The 19516-nt window shown below is 37.9% G+C and overlaps 1 long non-coding RNA gene across 1 annotated transcript; it reads right to left on the reverse strand.

The window, feature by feature from the left end:
* Positions 1 to 10829: 10829 nt before the first annotated feature.
* LOC124901020 (uncharacterized) lies at positions 10830 to 19375 on the reverse strand. The gene is made up of 2 exons (XR_007058846.1): positions 19171 to 19375; positions 10830 to 11168 (listed from the first exon to the last, which is right to left on the reverse strand). It is a non-coding gene; the product is annotated as an uncharacterized LOC124901020 (long non-coding RNA).
* Positions 19376 to 19516: the final 141 nt, after the last annotated feature.

The following is a 19516-nucleotide window of genomic DNA, read 5'->3' on the forward strand; positions in this document are numbered from 1 at the left end:
GATAAACTATAAACATGTATAATACAACTGGGAAAATTTGAACACTAACTGGATATGTAACTACGTTAAAAGATTATTGTTAAAATTTTTAGGTATGGTAATGATTTTATCATTTTTTTGAAAGAATTTTTTTGATTTTATCAGTTTTTTTGAAAGAATTCTCATATTTTAGAGACATCAAATGAATTAGCTTCAGATGCAATAATGTGCTGTTAGTGACTTACTTTAAAATATCAAAAAATGATAATGGAGTGGGCGTATAGAGAGTGGCTGTGTGCCTAAACCAAGACTGACCATAAGTCAGTAATTATTGAAACTGTAAAAGAAGTACATCAAAGTTCATTATATTACATTTCACTGAGCTTAAAATTTTACATAATAAAAATTTTTAACAGAAAGCTCACAAAAATTAAATTAGAGCCTGAGAATATCTAGTTTTGCAAGGTTGTTGAGCACTGGGAGTATACCCACGACATGGAAAAATTTGGCAATATCTGGTAAATCTGAAGACAGGTATACTCCATAATGCAGCAATTTCACATCCGGATATATACCTCAGAGAAACTTTTTCACCGATATATGAGAATACACATACAAGCCAAAAAAAAAGAGAAAATAATCTAAATGTCTATTAACAGAAAAGAGGATAAATGCACTGATGCAAACCAAAGATATTCCACAAATGTTAAAAGTAATGAGTGAGAGCAGCATGCATCATCATGAGTATATACCAAAGCCATAATTTTTAGTAGAAAGAATGCAAGTTGCAGGATAATAGTTGTAATATCATTTACATGTAAGTTTATATAGAACTTTAAAATAAGCAAAATTATACTGTAAAGCATTTATGAATATGTAATTATACAATAAATGTTTAAAATATATGCAGTTATAATAAACACCAAATTCAGGACAGTGATTTTTCTCTGAGAAGGAAGGGAATGGTATAGAATCTCAGAGAAATCTCCAGGGGATAAATGTGTAGGTAACACTTTTGTTTCGAATACTTCTTCTGTGAAACAAAAACAAAACTGAAGCAAATACAGCAAATTATGAAAATTCACTAAGTGGATGGTGGCTACTTTGTGTATTGCTAAACTGTTTGCCATAGTTGTCAGCATGTTTAAAATAGTTTAACATTCTAAAATAAAAATGGTGATGTGTTCTGTGTCAATAATGCAATAATGGAATGTTGCAGCTGTCTCAAAAGTGTCTAAAAATAATTAAATAATTTCAGCCAAGGCAAACATAATCATTCGAGGAAATTGAGAGCTTGAACCTCTGTGTGGTCAAATGGGCATTGTGACACCCAACTGGCCTCTTAGCAAAGGTTTAGCTTTAACGGCTGTTAGAAGGAGAGAATAACCTGTGTCATTACACTAGATTCTGTTTCTAGTGCACACAATGGAGATTAGCTGTTTATTTCTTCCCCTGACTTTTGAAAATCATAGTTTCCACTTGTAATATAAAACTTTATCTTAGCTTGACTTTGTGGGGTGACTGCATGATAAGATACATATAAATCCTCACTTGTAAAACATTTCAAAGTGCCCAAATGAAACATTTGCTTCTTTTTTTACATTACATTCAAAACTAGGCTGTAGAAAAACAGACACTTTAGTGATGACTCTACCCAAATACTGAAGTCAAATAAGGAGCTGCAGAACAGTCTTTTCCTTGTTGGTTACAAATAGTTTCTTTCCTAATGACAAAGATATTTCAAATACTCAGGGTTTTTGTTTTTCCTTCCTCCTTTTTAAACTTATTTTCTGTCTTTCTTATTCGTTATTAGTGTTGTCCTATAAAGGATGACCTGTGACATCTCTTAAATTCTGAGCAAGTTTCTTTTAATACTGTAGCCATATTTTAACGTCAGCAGTTGGCACTTCACATGTTCGTTCTCACGGAGTGCAATGTGTGAAATGTGCTGTAGAACTGCCCCATATGCATGACTCCACAAAGATGCCTTCTGTTGCAATCAAAGCCTGTCAGCAGTATCTTTGGGGTACAGCATAACACGTAGTGGTAAATGGAGACAGAAGGCCAGCCTCTGAGTACACTGCAAATGCTCAGCCTCTGTGAGGGTTATTCTCTGTATCTTGCTAAGGAAGCAATAGTAAGAGTCCAAATGTGTTTGGTAGAACCACTGAAAGAAAGCTCAATCAAAAATTTTTAGAATTCCCATCCCCTCAATTTCAGACTGTTAAGAAAGATCTACTTCTTTATTCAGGTGAGTGATGAAATGCCACAACTACCCTAGTGGCCTGCTTGAAGATAGCATTGCTTTTATAGTGTTGGATGATGTACATGATCTTCAGAAGCAAGATCCTATGTAACTATGTGTGTGTGATGTTCAGGGGGCATTAGCCCAGTGCTCTCTTTTTCAAACAATGATACAAAACAGAAACAAAACAGAAAATCACCTTCAGGTTTGGGAAGAATGGTCAGATTCTAGCCTCCTTCCTTTTCCTAAGTTTTTCCTAAACTGAAAAGCACTGAAAAATGGCCTCAGTTATATAGACAGCCACAGTATGTAAGACTAGATCTGTGCTTAAGCCAGAGAAAAGACCCTCCTCTGTTTCAGCAGCCTTCCTTTCTATAGAGGTAGTGGAATGGAATAAACTCTTCAATATCTTTTTATCTATGTTTATCTATCTATCTATCTATCTATCTATCTATCTATCTATCTATCTATCTATCCATCCATCCATCCATCCATAGCTTCTCAGCCTTTTGGCTAAGATCAGTGTATTTATCTACATATTTGCCTTCCATTTTCTTTCTAGTTCTCTTCTCGTCCCTTTCTTAATTTTCTTTCTCTTGTATTCATAATAACCTTTTCATTTGGTTCCTACCCCAAACCACATGTTTGTATATTTGTTCTTATAACTTCTGGTTATTGCAGTTGTCATAATTTTTTGCTGACTGCCTTTAACAATCTCATCAAACTTGGATATCTTTAGGAAGATAAAACAACATAAACTATCACTCATACTAAATTTCAATATCTCAAATTAATCCAAAACATCATAATTTTTCATGAAATCCTGAGAGTTAATGGGTCAGTAAATAATTGCATGGTTTTCTCCAAAAAAAAAAAAAGTATTTTTACCACCAAAGTGAACAGAGAATGTGTATTTACCCCCCAAAAGACTCTGAAAAATATGTGAATAATTAATTCCTGCAAACATAATTCTCATCCCCTGGTTGGAATTAATTTGACTGAAACCTTAGATGTATTCCTGAGTTTTTCTTGAGTCTACAAAGTCTACAATCTAGTCCTAGGGGTCACAGTTTGTAACAGTTCTTGGAATAACAAGAAAATCACTGCATGTGTTCAGCTCCTCTTTGTCTCTGTCTATGAACTTTCATTGGTCTAACATTTTGTCAACAGTTCATCAAGGAAATTAATGAGCAGTCTGACAGTTTTAGCTCATGGGGCCACCATTTCCATCTGTGCGGTCTTCAAGTTGTCTCTCTGGGAAGGAGTGAATACACAGGATTGTTTTAGGGGCTGGATGGAAGAACAGCATTCTTCCATCTTCATGAGTCTAATCCAATGATGATAACAAGCCCAAGTCATTCACTCTTTCTCAAAATGTGTTTACAAAATAATATTTGTTTGTTCAAGCTCTGTTGTTTGTGCAATGTTATGGTATATTTACCAGCCAATTTTCATTTCCGAAGATCTTTGATAGTGAGCTGTTCTAACTGAAACCACATCTTTCTCATTGTTGCACCTCCACTGCCAGCACAGTGTTTAATTGAACAACATGGTACGCAGAACTTTACAAACATTAACTCATTTAATATCCAAAAAAGCCCTGTGAGATTGATTTTTGTCTCCATTGTAAGGATTAGGAAACTAAAGCAATAAGCCATTTAGTGACCTTGCCCAAGGCCCAGATAGCAAGTGGCAGAGCCTGCTTCCGAAGACCCCACTACTGCTGTGCTAGATTATGCGTCAATGCTATGCTGCTTTGGGAGCGTCTGTGTATTCAGTACTAGTCTGTGGATGCAAGAGCAAGTGAAAAAGACTAAAAGAGGAAAAGGGAAGGGAAAAGAAAACAATTTGAAGAACAGTTGAAGCTAAAAATATCATTAGTAATTCAGAGACAAACTGGGATTTGAGTTTCCTTCTTATAAGATAGGATCATCTGAAATAAATGCTCTCATTTTATTTTAATATAATTTTGATAACTATAAAATATAGGTAACTTAATTTTTGGAGCATAATAATAATATAATGAATACCCATGAACCCACCACTTACCTCAAAACTAGAACATGACTCATCTGTGTGTTTTTTCTCTAGCTCATCTTCTGGTCTTCCCCCAGAAGTAAGAGCTACACTGAATTTTGTGAATATCATCCCCTTCCCATTTTAATATAGTTTTATCATATATATAGGTAGCCTAAACAAGCTTTTCTTGTTTTTGGTCTTTATCAAAATGATATGATACTATTTAAAATTCTCTTTTGCCTTTTTCACTTAAAGTTATCTTAACAAGATTCATCTATGTTGAATAGAATGAACTCTCCTTTATAAAATGTCATAGGAGTTTTCAAAACACTTTGTTTGTTTGTTTGTTTGTTTGTTTGTTTTTGAGACGGAGTCTCGCTCTGTCGCCCAGGCTAGCGTGCAGTGGCGCAATCTCGGCTCACCGCAACCTCACCTCCTGGATTCAAGCAATTCTCCTGCCTCAGCCTCCCGCATAGCTGGGACTACAGGCACGTGCCACCATGCCCAGCTAATTTTTGTTTTTTTAGTAGAGACGGGGTTTCACCATGTTGGCCAGGATGGTCTCAGTCTCTTGACTTCGTGATCTGCCTGCCTTGGCCTCCCAAAATGCTGGAATTACAGGCGTGAGCCCCCACGCCCGGCCCTCAAAACACTTCTATATAAATTATCTCATTTCATTCACATAAAATCTATTGGAAATAAGTAGATTGCTCTAATTTTTCCTATTTTTTAAATTGCGATAGTACCAAAAACCATGCTGGCAGCCACTAACAAATCTGGGTGTTTGGCTGGGCCCGCCCACGTGCTTCAAGGCCCACATGTCATTATGGGCTCCAGGTCTTGCAACAAACAGGGATATTACGAACTTTGCATATCAGTAAGTCTGTTTGAATGCTTGTAATTGTGATTTTATTTTCCATGTGGTATGGGTGTTCTCTCATTATATTGAGAGAGAAAAAATAAAATAAAAAAGCAATCAAAGCGCTCAGGACTTCTTGGAAATTCATTTTATTTCCATATGTATGGCACATAAATAAAGCTTTATGTTCATTCCAAATGTGACTGTCATGTCCATTTCACCATAGCTGATAGGATATGGTAAACAATAGCATATGTAAATTCCCACCAAAAATATATATCTGGAGGAAGTTCTGTCTTTTATTACCTTGCAAATTTCTTTTTTAGACATTCTTTCAGCTGCCTGGCAAGCATGTGAGGCAGTAAGAGACCTGACGTTCCTGTGGTTGGCTTGAGTTTTGTGTTATTTATTACTCAGGGATGTGTTAATATCTACTACCTTACAAAATAGCTACAGCAGAAAAACTAGAATTCTGCTTCCCACACGAAATTTGCAAAACAAATATGCCAGTGGGCCATAACACCTGTGAGATTAAGATCTCAGAAAGCTCAGTTGACTAAAATGAAAAAATGCCCAATTCTCTGATGGTTTCCTCCATGGCATTGGACTAACAGATAATTCTTCATCGGACATGGTATATTTAATGCAACATTAGATACTTTCTCCATAACTTTTTACTAAAGTTATGTCAGTATAAGGGAATTTATTAATAATTGAATAAACTAACATGGTAATTCAGAGCACACTTCCCTGACCATCAGGAAAGGGGTGAGGAATGGATTTTTCACATAAACTTTTCAAGTTTACTCTTACCTGTGGGTTGATTAGTCATTACTTCCAACGAGTAAAATACATGTATATACCACCATCAGAGTTGTCTGTAAAAGCAGTGAGAACTGCCTTGTGTTAAATAGTAAGACTAAAGCATTGACCGTCTTAAAGATAAAAACAAGTTGTTCTGTATCTTAAGTAGCCAAAAGATCTGCTTCCTTTTGAGGTCACATGATGTAAGAAAAAAATACTGAGCAAAAGTTGTTTTCCCTCGCCACATTGGCCTGCAATACCATGAAAAGTTTGGGAGCACACATTTAGAGTCTGTCGGACTAGGGTTCAAGTCCTATCTTTGCTACTTAATACATTTGTACCTTAAAAAACTGTCTTAACCTCATTGAACATCAGTTTTCAATATCACAAAATGGAGACTTTCTTCTGGTCTTTATCCACAGGCTTGTTATGAATATTAAAGGAGGTAAACCACCTGACAGTGTCTGACATGTAGCAAGGGCTCCTTAGAGAGAGTGTCTTCTTGGGCAATCTGATATCCTGCTGATATAAACAGCTCTATCATACTTGCCATTCTAGAACCATGTTTCCTGCAGACAGAGAGTTGGTGATTGCATTCTCAGACATCACTCAGCCTTTGGTTTCCATGTGTCCCACAGCTGGAGCTGGGGGACAGGAGTCAGTGCTCAGCAGCACATGAGCTGCCAGTTTGCACCAGAGCTGCACTTTCTGTGCTCAGCCATCTGACCTGCAGGAAGAGGTCCAGAAGCCTCCTGTCTCCTCAGTGTAATCCCTATGGAGAGTCTGTGTACACAACCCAATTTCATTTTGCCTCCACATGGCGATTGTTGTCCTTTTCTAGGGCTTTGTGTTTTCTTTCTTACTAGGTCCTTTTCATGTTGAAGTTGGGCAAGACCTACCTGCACAGCAGGCATGCTCACTCCTCCTGAGGAGTATCCATCTCTTGTTTCTACCCAGCATGGTTAAAGATGGTTGTTTTGTGAAACAAACAGGCTTGGCCCAAGTTAGGGCTAACAGGATGTGTTACTCCTCAGGGGTGAAAGAAAAGGAAAAGTCCCGCATGAGGTGCTCTCTCACCCCATTACTCTGTTGGAAATGGTCAGGAAGAGCAAAGAAAGTCTGGACAAAAGAAATAAAGTTAGATTTGCTAGTTTCGATCAGAGACTTTTGCCTCAGAAACAAAAGCGGGCATGATATTTTAAAGATAAAATTCACTTGGAAACTATAATCAAGCAGCATAAATGTACTTATGATATGAAACTGAAATTAGAAGTGCCATTCTCAAAACTGAGTGATCCCAAAGGGCTTCTGATGACTGGTGTTTAACTAAACTATGATGATTTTACCTCACCACTGAATAACATGTATCACAGAGATGCAGAATGAAAAAAAGGAGAGGGGTCCTTCGGATTCTGTTCAGGAATGGAACTTGGAAAGAATAAGGGGAGAGTGGAGAAAGGGAAATCTAAAGGAAAGTCATGGAGTGAGTTGAAAAAAACGAATCTCAAACAAGGAATGGCTGTTCCCTGAATTCAGAGTTCTTTGGGAGCTTCTTCCTTCCCCAGGACTGAAATCTCAAGGTTATTTCTTGCCCACTCCTTTCCTTCTCTTTAGATGTGTATGGACAGGCAGTCAGTTAGAGGTGAGAGCCATGCCTGGCAATTTCTTAGGCCGTATGTTCCTCTCATGGTATAGCTTAACCTTTGGCTGTTTGACTTGTCATTTCTTTTTCCCAGTATAATTCTCCTGCTTATGGTCATTCTTGAAGTCTATACAATAAACTGCATTAGTCAGGACTGCCTAGGGTTCTCCATTTAAACAGATTTTGAACACAAATATATTTCCATTGAAATTATCTTCATGCACTCTAGCACACATTCCTTAAAACACTTAACTTTTTAAGAAAAAAATAACTATTGATTGTGATGGTGGTTTCAAAACTCCTAAAACTGTACATTAAAAAGGGTGAAATGTATGTAAATTACACCTCCATTTTAAAAAAGCTTTTTAAAAAAGTAAATGTTGCCACATTATCTGCTATAGACAAGTAGAGCAAGTAGGGAATCATGTACTGAAACTAAGAACATCACAAGCCCTAGATTTTTAGGCCCAATAAGCCACTAATTAACTGTAGGATCTTAGGCATGCAATTTCGTCTTTAACAAGTCAGTTTTATCATCTGTAAAATGAGGAATGTGTTCAGATTAGCATTTGTGAAAGTATGTTTGGCAAAATACTAATTTTTCAGAATATTTTTTAATTTTTTTTTTTTTTTTTTTTTTTTGAGACAGAGTCTTACACTGTCACCCAGGCTGGAGTGCAGTGGCGTGATCTCGGCTCACTGCAAGCTCCGCCTCCCGGGTTCATGCCATTCTCCTGCCTCAGCCTCCTGAGTAGCTGGGACTACAGGTGCCCGCCACCATGCCTGGCTAATCTTTTGTACTTTTAGTAGAGATGGGGTTTCACTGTGTTAGCCAGATGGTCTCCATCTCCTAACCTTGTGAACCACCCGCCTTGGCCTCCCAAAGTTCTGGGATTACAGGCGTGAGCCACCACACCCGGCCTTAATTTTTTAACTATTAATATTTTTTAATAGAGATGGGATCTCACTCTGTTGTCCAGGCTGTTCTGGAACTCTGATACTCAAGAGATCTTCCTGCCTCAGCCTCCCAAACTGCTTGGGTTACAGGTGTGAGCCACCACACCCAGCCATGTTTGTAGTTTTTATGTGAGGCAAAAAAAGGTTTCCTTCATCAAATATTTTAAAGAATGGTTACATCAAGTAAAATGAAGTAGATTCATGAAGTACAGGATATGTCACAGCTTTTTCACCATGTGAAAATGTATACACCGTTTCCTCAGCTTATCCAATCACTATAGTCTTTATCTACTCCACCCCACTCAGCCTTCAGCATCTGCGGGTTTAATGTATAAATGCTGGGAAACACTTAAGTAATCCTTCTTGACAATCATCTCCCACAAAATGTTCCTTCCACAAAATGTTTCTCAGGCATCAATTTTATTTGCACTTAAATTGACACATAGGAGCAGAATGAAGTTATTAAGTGGTTATTCTAACAGAGTGATTTGCCATTTTGTTAGAGTCTGAATATAATTGGGAGAAATCTTTACTTCATACTGCATGTGTAGACACAGATGTGGTCAGTGAATAATTGTATAAACACGTTTCAGAATTGCTTCAGCCTCTTTTGAGTGGAGTATATGTAGAAAGCAGGCTGAGGCTAGCAGAAGTGAGAGATAACAATAGATAGAAGTGTAGGCAAGAGTCAAACGAAATTCTATTGGAAAATAAAAACAATGGTGAACCTGAAAAGTGTTTGAACCCTGTTACAAACTCGCATCAACGGTTTTCTTTTTTCTCTGCGACAAATGTGACAGCCAAGTTACTGTATAAAAAGAGGCCTCATTTTTAGCCCCATTCTGGGAGCCCATGTAATTACTACTGGAGTATAAAGCTGGGAATAGGGGATCATTTTGCACTGAATGAACTATAATCAGCACCCCAACTTTGTGCAGTCATGTCTCCAAGGAAAAGCTCATCTGAACTTTTCCAAAGTTTCTTTCGTATATATCAAAATTATTTATATGCTGTCAAAAATTGGCTGAAACCCAGCTATCCACAGCTATCCACAGTTCCTAGAAAATTTAGCATATGATGTTTCTGGAGCATTTTTCTGCCTTTCTGCAAGGAACTTATCTAGTTATATTAATGATTATTGGCCTCTTTTACCACTCTTTTGCAAGAAAATCCTTCCGGACAATACAAATATTAAAAATGTAAATACAGTCACATATAATAAATGACTGCTTTTACAATACCTTGGCTATATGCTGTATGTGATGAATCCCAGCAGCCTTCCCTCTTTCCTAGTTATATTTATTAGCAGTGTTTTTCTTATGTAACCATAAATAATACTCTACTAAGCAATTCCTAACACATATATTTAATAAGTTAAATACAAATAAAGATCTTAGTAATTAAATTAATAGCATAATTTTCTTGGAAAGAAGTTGAACAAATGCATTAAGGAAAATTTCAAGTCCTCAAAGTTGCAGAAAATAAACTTGTAACACACACAACTGGAATCAGAAGGATAATAGTAATTTGTAGCCCCTCCAACGCAAAATTTCAGGAGTGGCCTCACTAGCCTTTTACCTAAAACTGATGACTTTAGGTGTCTACTCTATCACAATACTACAGCTACTTATGTTTCCTTTAAGCCTAAACAGAAAAAAGGAAAACACAGCAAATATTTTTTGCCTTTATATTAGAGCAGTGTTTAATCATCAGCAAAGTGAACAACTGGTCTTTAACAATAGGCTGCTTCCTTCTACTGAAACTTCTACTTACACTGCTATACTCCAATTATCCTGCAAGTAAATAAAGTGGATCCATTAAGGTCCCTAATAAACATCAATAAATATCTTGAATTTATTTCATTGAACTTTGATTTAGTTCATTATAGGCGCACCTTTAGCTCCTGAGCTGTAACCTTTAACATTTCCATATTCTGCCTGGTCCCAAATGCTCCTGGGAATACTTAGGTAAAAACCACACCCATAATTGCAATATTTCTATGTTGGGTTTAATATTATTAACATGGAATCAGATATAGGTAATTAAATCCATTTGCAGCTAATATAGAGATATTAATTCTTGACTTAAAGGTCAAAAATAAAAATCTTATGAGATAAAATTGTATTGGTCTTTAGATTTTTATTTTTTAAATTGCATTCAGTTCAAATATTTACAGAAGCACTTAAAAATAATATATTTGAATTTCTGAGAGAAAATAACTATCAGCTATGTATAGTTATCTTCTTTCTATTTTGTGGAGGAAAGAAAAGGAAGACTGAAGATATTATTTCAGTTTCCTGGTAACGTGTTCAACAGACACCACAAGGGATTTAAAATATTTATTGAATTGAAAGAATATCAGCTAATAAATAACAATTTGATAATTAATATCTACAAACCCCATCAGTCCAAGGTTGCCAAAATTAAAGTACAGAGTAAAAAGTTTCAAAAAGCTCCAGAATGAAATAAGACACTGGACCTTCTTTCCTGGTGCAGCAGAAAAGCAGACTGAACACATCCCAGGCACAAAGAATTTCACTATCCAGTGAATCTTCTACTGACCGTTTCTTTCAAAGGCCAGCAAATTCTTCACAGAGGGGAACGCAGCAGCCATCTTCTTTGTCCTTGGGACAGAGCAAGAAGGGTCTGTTCGAGCTGGTGACCTAGATTTGAGGAGCAAGAAAAACAAACGATGATCCCTGTCCCAAAATATCTTCATTTTTCCTAAAATGAAATTTCCTAAATGAGCCCATTTTTCCTAAAAAGAAGGTATTTCCTAAATATCTTTCCTAAATTATTGCCTCCAACTCCTGCATTACTGTCTCAAGTTAAGACTTGGAAGACTGTTGTAGTAGTCTGTTCTCACACTGCTAATAAAGGTTCAATTTATTGAACCTTGGGTTCAAATACCCAAGAGGTTCAATTGACTCACACTTCCACACGGCTGGGGAGGCCTCATAATCATAGCTGAAGGGGAATGAAGAGCAAAGTCACGTCTTTCATGGCAGCAGGCCAGAGAGCCTGTGTAGGGGAACTCCCCTTTATAAAACCATCAGATCTCATGAGACTTATTTTATCACAGCAACAGCATGGGAAAGAACTGACCCCATGATTCAATTACTCCCACTGGGTCCCTCCCACGACACATGGGAATTATGGGAACTACAATTCAAGATGAGATTTGGGTAGGGACACAACCAAACCATATTACCTGTTAAAAGGCAAATATTTGGGTGAGCAATACCCTTTACACTGCCATGGCAAATAGATTTGACCCCATATGACATCTCTGATAAAGTGACAGAGGTTGCTGTAATGTGCTGAAAAGATTCTAAGGCCATCCCCAAGCTCAATAGAAAAGAATACTCTTTGAATAGCAATGTCCACTGTGAGCACAAAAGAGACTTGCAACATATAAGTTGACTATTTCCTGACTGTTGTTTTTCCTTATCCAGCATCTACTCATCTTTCTTTTGCCAATATCATGCTGATTTTCCTTTAAGTATCCACCTCTTCCCTAATTTGCATTCTCCCATTTGCATTCCAAATTTTTTCCATCTCTGTTTTTACACATTCAAAACTCAGATCGGTTTGATTAAGCAAGAAATGTGTCAATAATCATAGATGTCCCCTCCTGGGAACCATGTAGGTGGGCTAATTTGTTGGTGCAGAGAAGGGAGATTTGCTCTAGATTCAGCCTTATAAGAAGTGAATTGAAGATAAAGCCTTAGAAGCTCCAGTAGTGCAGTTGGTTAGCACACGAAACTTAAATGAAGATAAAGCATTAAAAAATTGCATTGAATATTCATATGACTTGTGAGAACATCTGGCAATTACAGAGCATTTTGCCAAGACTTAATAAAATAAATAAGGAGAATAAAGATCAGAATATATTTCAAGCTAGTACAGGCTTGCTCAATATATTTTTTAATTGGTCAAGAATTATATAACAAAACCTTATGAGATAATCTGTAGCAGCAATTCTTTTTCTCAAAAATTAAAGAAGCTATTTAAAGAGAAGGGCTGTCCACCACAGCAACTTTCTAACACTGACCTACCTAGTTTCTTCTGTAAGGGGATACCTTATTGTATTTAATGTACTCTAAAAATACATTTACTTCCATGTTATTGTTTTATCATGACCATTTATTTATTCAATTTTTTTGAGATAAGGTCCTGCTGTGTCTCCTAGGCTGGAGTACAGTGGTGCAATCACAGCTCACTCACTGCACCCTCAAACTCTTGGGCTCAAGCGATCTTCCTGCCTCCTGCCTAGCCAGGACTACAGGTGGACACCACCACGTTCAGCTAATTTTTTTTTTTTAATTTTTTGTAAATTAGGGCCTCACTTTGTAGCCCAGGCTGGTCTCAACCTCCTGGCTTCACTCAACTCTCCTGCCTTGGCCTCCCAAAGCACTGGGATTACAGGCATGAGCCACCACACCCAGCCCTAACCATTTTTCGTGAGCATTTGATCTTGCTCTTCATGACACTTTTGAAGAAGTGAGCCCAGAGTTTGTCAAAGGGATGTTACATTTTCCATAACACAATTTTTTTTTAGGCAGAGTCTCACTCTGTTACCCAGGCTGGAGTGCAGTGGCGTGATCTCGGCTCACTGCGACCTCCGTCTCCTGGGTTCACACCATTCTCCTGCCTCAGCCTCCCAAGCTGCTGGGACTACAGGCGCCCGCCACCACACCTGGCTAATTTTTTGTATTTTTTAGTAGAGACGGGGTTTCACCATGTTAGCCAGGATGGTCTCAACCTCTTGACCTTGTGATCCGCCCACCTTGGCCTCCCAAAGTGGTGGGATTACAGGCGTTAGCCACTGTGTTGGGCCTCCATAACACAATTTTTAAGGCTTCTTTAATAGAGCTGCTCTTGGGATCTATGTTTCCAAAAAGAAGTTCAAACTGTCTCTCCGTTTCATTGCCCTGTATTTTCCTTTATGATACATCACAATCTGTATTTATTTTGCTATTTGTTTCCTTGTTCTTTGTCTATGTCATACAAGCTGTATGAGGTGGCACTTTGTCTGTCCTTTTCACTATGTCTCCAACACCAAGCAGAGTGCCTGGCACAATAATTATGTGTGAAAAGAGTGCTTAGTAAATCAATGAATCTATGAATCAATGAAATAATTCATAAATGAAACTGATGGTGATACAACACAGTGGAGGTGCTTTTACTTTGTAAGCAGCTTTGTTCATAAATTCATGAGAGTTCAGAAGTGGAAAGCTCATAAGTAGAGGCACTTCTGTTCTCCTTCCTGCTTATCTCAGACATGGCATCAATACCCATCTCACGTAGATTCCTAGGCAGCCACTTCAAATGGATTCCTTCCATCTCTGGGATAAGGTACTAAAGCCAAAGTAGGTATTCATGCCTCTGTTCGCCCTGACCCTGCCTTGGACTCTTTATTCCAGTAAAGCAAGCTATGGTACATTTTCCTCTCATCGTCTTGCCATTCTGTCTATACAAAAGTTTGGACCTTTCTATGCGTTGCCATGATACACTCTTTATACCATTCATAACATCTGGCTCACAGCTTCTAATAACCCACAAATGCCTTGACATAAGCAACAGCTAATTTCGTATTATGCAAGGTTTTAGTTATATTAGAAAATGACATAATGTATATAAAAGCGTTTTATGAGCTAAAAAATCCCATGCAAATGAAAGAGATAATGATCATGATTATCACTATCATTGTTGTTGCCTCAGCAAAGACGGAAAACTCTTTGAAGAGTCTTTTCACATTCTCCCTTTTTGGCTTTTAAGAAATATTGAACTACATGCTTCCAGAGAAGAAATTGTTTCTTGGCATTAAAATAGAAATTTTAATAAAATCACATTAACTCTTCCAGGCACTGTTACATTACAGAGGAAAACAAACAAACAAACAAAACCAGATCCTATTGTCCCAGATCCACTATTTATCTAAAATGTGAAGAACAGGCATTTCTTAGTAGTTTACATTTTCTTTTTTTTTTTTTCCATTAACTTTTATTTTAAGTTCTGGGGTTGAAGTGCAGGATGTGTAGGCTTGTTACATAGGTAAACCTGTGCCATGGTGGTTTGCTGCAGAGATCCACCCATCACCTAGGCATTAAGCACACAGTCCATTAGTTATTCTTCCTGATGCTCTCCCTCCCCCGCCCCTCAACCCTGACAGGCCCTAGTGTGTTTGTTCCCCCCACAGTGTAAGCTTTGAAACATACTTTCATTTCCTATGCAGAGGATGATTTTGATTCCCCACTTTACACAAACTATCCTCTTAGAGAGGAGACCCCACTAGGCCAGTCAACCCAGCAATATCTCAGATCACATCAGACTCATTGGAAGAGAAGTAGAAGTTGCCTAAACACTATAATTTGAAGCACATCAAAAAGGTCCACACATGGCTCTGCCTAGAGGTCTAGCCCTGGGGACTGAATAAATTAAATAATAAGCCTAATGTCCTTGAGCACTCTCAGCTACCAAACAAAAGCCATGCTAAGCAAATGGAAGTACAAAAATGGATGCATACAAACATGCTTCTTTCGCACACAAATGTTCCCAGAAAGTATTGAATTGCATGCTAGCAAGAGAGCTAGCCACAGAAAGGATTGTATAAGCAAATTCCTGTTTCCCAATTTTGACCTTTACTGACTGTTCAAGAATATTCAGCTGTCTCACACTACCTTGAGCAATATTACCATTTCCTATTTATCCAGATAAAAGAAAATGCATACCAAGAGTCTCTGGTAGCTATAACTTACGAAATGATACCATGGGAGCCTAAATAAGTTAATATAGATTTCACATGTATAATATATTCTTTGAACAATTGTACTTACAGCAATAATATAGCTCATCAGTTTTTGGAAGAGGCAAAGCACTTTTCAGGGCTTATTTTTGCAATATCACATTCTCTCCTAGCTTTCCTCCAGTTATGAGAAGTCAGAGGGGAAAATAATGAAACCCATCTCAGTCATAGGCATCTGACTGAAGAACTTTGTTACTATTATTTGCAAGGATTTGACACTGACTTGAGGTTTCAGTGATGATTGACATTTGTAAAGAAGCCTTTGCATAGCATTCAGCAGGCTGTTAAAAACATGTATAATTTAGCTTTGGTAGTTTCAATAAAGTAAAGGTTAGGTTCTGCCAATGACCTTTCTTGAACTTCTAGGAGTATATAGTCTTTTGGTGAAAAGGTAAAAAACAAAGACTATATTTTCCTACTTAGGTGGTAATTACACTTCAGTTTATGTAGTTCTGATGTTCGTGGGAGATCTTTATAATTTACCCCTGGGCAGGCTCTCGCTGTGAAGCTTTTTTTTTCCCCTTGAGAGAGTTGGTTGTTTTTTTTTTTTTTTTTTTTTTTTTTAACAAACATCCTTGCAAATTGGATAAGTGTTGCATTACAGTGATTTGCAACTCATTGATAGACTTACATGTTTGAACCTTAGGAATAGCACTTGAAAGAAAGATTACAAATCCCCTTAACCTGCAAGCATTCACTTTCCAAAAATACCTATTTGCAAGGCATGAAAGCACTGAATTTTGAAAGCCCTGGTAAATCCAAGCAAAGTGAAATGTACCTCTGCTCAAATGAGTTCAGTGGTGGTCGGCCTTTAAGAAGACAACGTGTTTTGAGGCTTTCTACAGATAGCCAAAGAAACTCGTCCTTCATTCAACATCACAGGGTTCCTCTGCCATCATGGTAATTACACATGTTGCCAACTCAATTAAGATTGCACAAGGAAAGATGATTATTCATTGTAGCAATTTCACTTTATAGTCAGTGGTAAATTCTGTGAGAAAACTTCATCCGGCAACTTTCCCATCCTCCTGGAAGGGGGGTCCTTGGTGGTCAGCCAGAAACATGCAGAACTATCAGTATAATTCATGCTGCTTAGGGGTTCAAAAAAAAAAAAAAAGAGGCATTTCCAAAGCCAGGGCAAATTAGCCTTTGGCATTGAAACTCTCGATTATTTATCCACTCAGGCGCATCTATACAATGAGAAACAACTGCCTTGAAAGGCAATAAAATGTTGCATACAGTTCCCAGGGGCCTGTCTGCCTGATGAAGCATTTAATCAACCAGGCCACAGAACCATTTGCGTTCTATGTATCTAGCTAGGGGAGGTAGTCAGTGAAACTCATTAAACAGTACTCAGAAGAAACTATCCAGCCCAGGTCTTTATTTTCTCCACAGGCTCTCAGGCAAAGTCCCAAAAGTCCATCTTTGGGCTATTGATGAGTGTTACCAAGCTCCAGCTCCATTTTCTCAGAAAACTCAGGTCAGGAAGGTGTTTCTTCCTTTAATCTCTTCCTTAACTCCCAGGCTGTGGTCAGCATCTCATGCTCTCATTTTGCATGCTTTTGTTTTCTTTCCCCAATAATAATGCAATCTATTGAGTAGGAATGATGGCATTCTTCTCCCACAGCAACTAAAATGATGTTTGGATAGATCATTGGGTCTTGAAAAGTACATTTTCATTGTACTGGGCTGGATGGTTTCTTCTGAGCACTGTTTAATGGGTTTCACTGACTACTTCCCCTAGCCAGACACATAGAATGCAAATGGTTCTGTGGCCTGGTTGAATAAATGGATTTGTACTTCATTGTACTACTAGCGGCTCTTCACCTAAACAAAATTTCCATTTGGAAATGGGAATATCCCTCTCACTTATGTAAACACTACTTTCCCTTTCTTTTGATCAAGGACCTTCCTTCAACTTCAAAGTTTTTCATCTCCTCTGTACACATGATGCTTCCGGATTCTGAAGTCTTGTAAGTCAAAAATTCAATGCCTAAAAATTTTTCAATGTACCATCTTTCATAGACACAGAGTAACTATGCATCAGAACAAAAGCACAACTACTTATTTATATAATGGTACTTTGTATATAAGAATGAAAGGGAAGGCCAGGTGCAGTGGCTCAAAGCTGTAATCCCAGCACTTTAGGAGGCTGAGGTGGAAGGATTGCTTGAGGTCAGGAGTTCAAGACCAGCCTGGGAAATGTAGCAAGTCCCTGTCTCTAAAAAAAAAAAAAAGAAAAAGAAAAAAAAATAGAATAAAAGGGGAAAGATTTTTTGGAACTCAAGCTATTCATCCATTGAGAAGTCTCTGTACAAATTATCTGGTCTCCTTATTGTCAGGAAGCTCACAGAACCTTTCTTTATGTATTTGAGTATTACATATGCATTTATTTGAAGAAAATTCACAGGCTTTACAATGAGTTATAACACCACTTCCCAGTTCCTTCTCACTGTGGAACTGTTAGCAACCCATTTGGTCATTTTAGGTGCACTATTAGGTGCATTAGTATACCTTTGAGATAATCTCAGATCTACTGCTTATTAGTTGCATGACGTGGCCACATTATTTAAGGTCTTTGCTTCAGTTTCCAAATCTGTGAAACAGAAATAGCAATAGCAATCACCTATGGGTTATCAGGAGGATTAAATGAGTTACTACATGTAAGGCACAGAGAGCCTGGCACTTGGTATGAACTCATCAAATAGTAACTTTTTTTTTCTTCCAGATCTGGGGACATTCTCATGTGTCCCTCATGAATTTTGTTCCATTCCAACTGAGAGTAGTGGGAGGATGCCACTTCTTAATTCAGGGTCCCCATTGCTAAGTCTTCGGCCTTTTGTTATGTACTCGTTCAAAATACAGGCTTCAAGTGATGACTCTGTATTTCTATAATCTCCACTTAGACAGAGATTCCTAAGGACAGGAACTCGATCCTAAGGTTGTTTCTATGGCCCACCATGTTTAAGGCAGTGTCTCACATGGAGTAAGAGCTCCATATTTATTTTTGTTGATATTTTTTACTGTTCCTTCCTCTCTGGTTACCCAACACTGATTATGGCAGCATTCCACTCTTTCTCCTCTTCCACACCACGTGTAATTTGATCCAATAGAGGTTACAGAGCCTGTAAGGCATACTACAAGGGACTTACCAGTAACCAAATATGTGATCCTTACCAGAACTCTTATTGTTTAGATAGGAGAAAGAGCAGATAATTTTTTGGACAGATGTGTGTCCTGGGTTGTGGGCTGCTTGTGGGTTTCTCATGTGCTGGCAAGCTGATAAAATTGAAAGGCAATGAAAAAATTTGGACAAGCATTCCAGTGAAGCTAACACAAGATTTCTTGATTTTGACCAACTTTGGCTACATTATTAGGAAAAGATAGCCCATGAAGGTGTTTTCTATGGGAAACACTCTACTATAAGAAGATAACCAATGAAAATTTTTAATTCACTGAGCCAGACTTCTTTCCACATAGTCTCATGTGATTCAATTACAAAACACTTTTTTCGGCAGGGTGCGGTGGCTCACGCCTGTAATCCCAACACTTTGGGAGGCCGAGGTGGGTGGATCTCAAGGTCAGGAGTTCAAGACCAGCCTGGCTAACATGGTGAAACCCCGTCTCTACTAAGAATACAAAAATTAGCTGGGCATGGTGGCACGTGCCTGTAATCCCAGCTACTAGGGAGGCTGAGTCAGGAGAATTGCTTGAACCGGGACCCGGGCGGCGGAGGTAGCAGTGATTGAGATCTCGCCATTGCACTCCAGCCTAGGTTACAGAAAGAGACTCTGTCTCAAAAACAAAACAAAACGAAACAAAAACAAAAACAAAAACAAAAAACACTTTTCTCTTACCTGCTTACTGGCATCTTTGAATGCAGATTCAATAGTGAACTGGACTTACTCTCTTCAGAAGGTACTCCTACTGATGCTAGAAAATGCAGCCACAAAGGAAAAACATTGTAGAGGAATTTCACTCCAGCAGAAAGAAGCAACTCCCTCATTACCAGATTGTTGTTTTCAGTAATTCTGTGGAAAGTCCCTTCTCTTGTTCAGTCCCTTGCTTCTCCATTTGGCTTAATCCCCCCAGCTGTAGTTTTCAGAGTCTTATGATTATTATTAATGTTATTGACTGGCTATTTCAGATAGCGTAGGTTCAAGTCTTCATGAGTTGAAACTTAGCCTTTCTAATCCATCTGCT

This window comes from Homo sapiens, chromosome 5 (assembly GCF_000001405.40).
Source record: "Homo sapiens chromosome 5, GRCh38.p14 Primary Assembly".
NCBI lineage: Eukaryota > Metazoa > Chordata > Mammalia > Primates > Hominidae > Homo > Homo sapiens.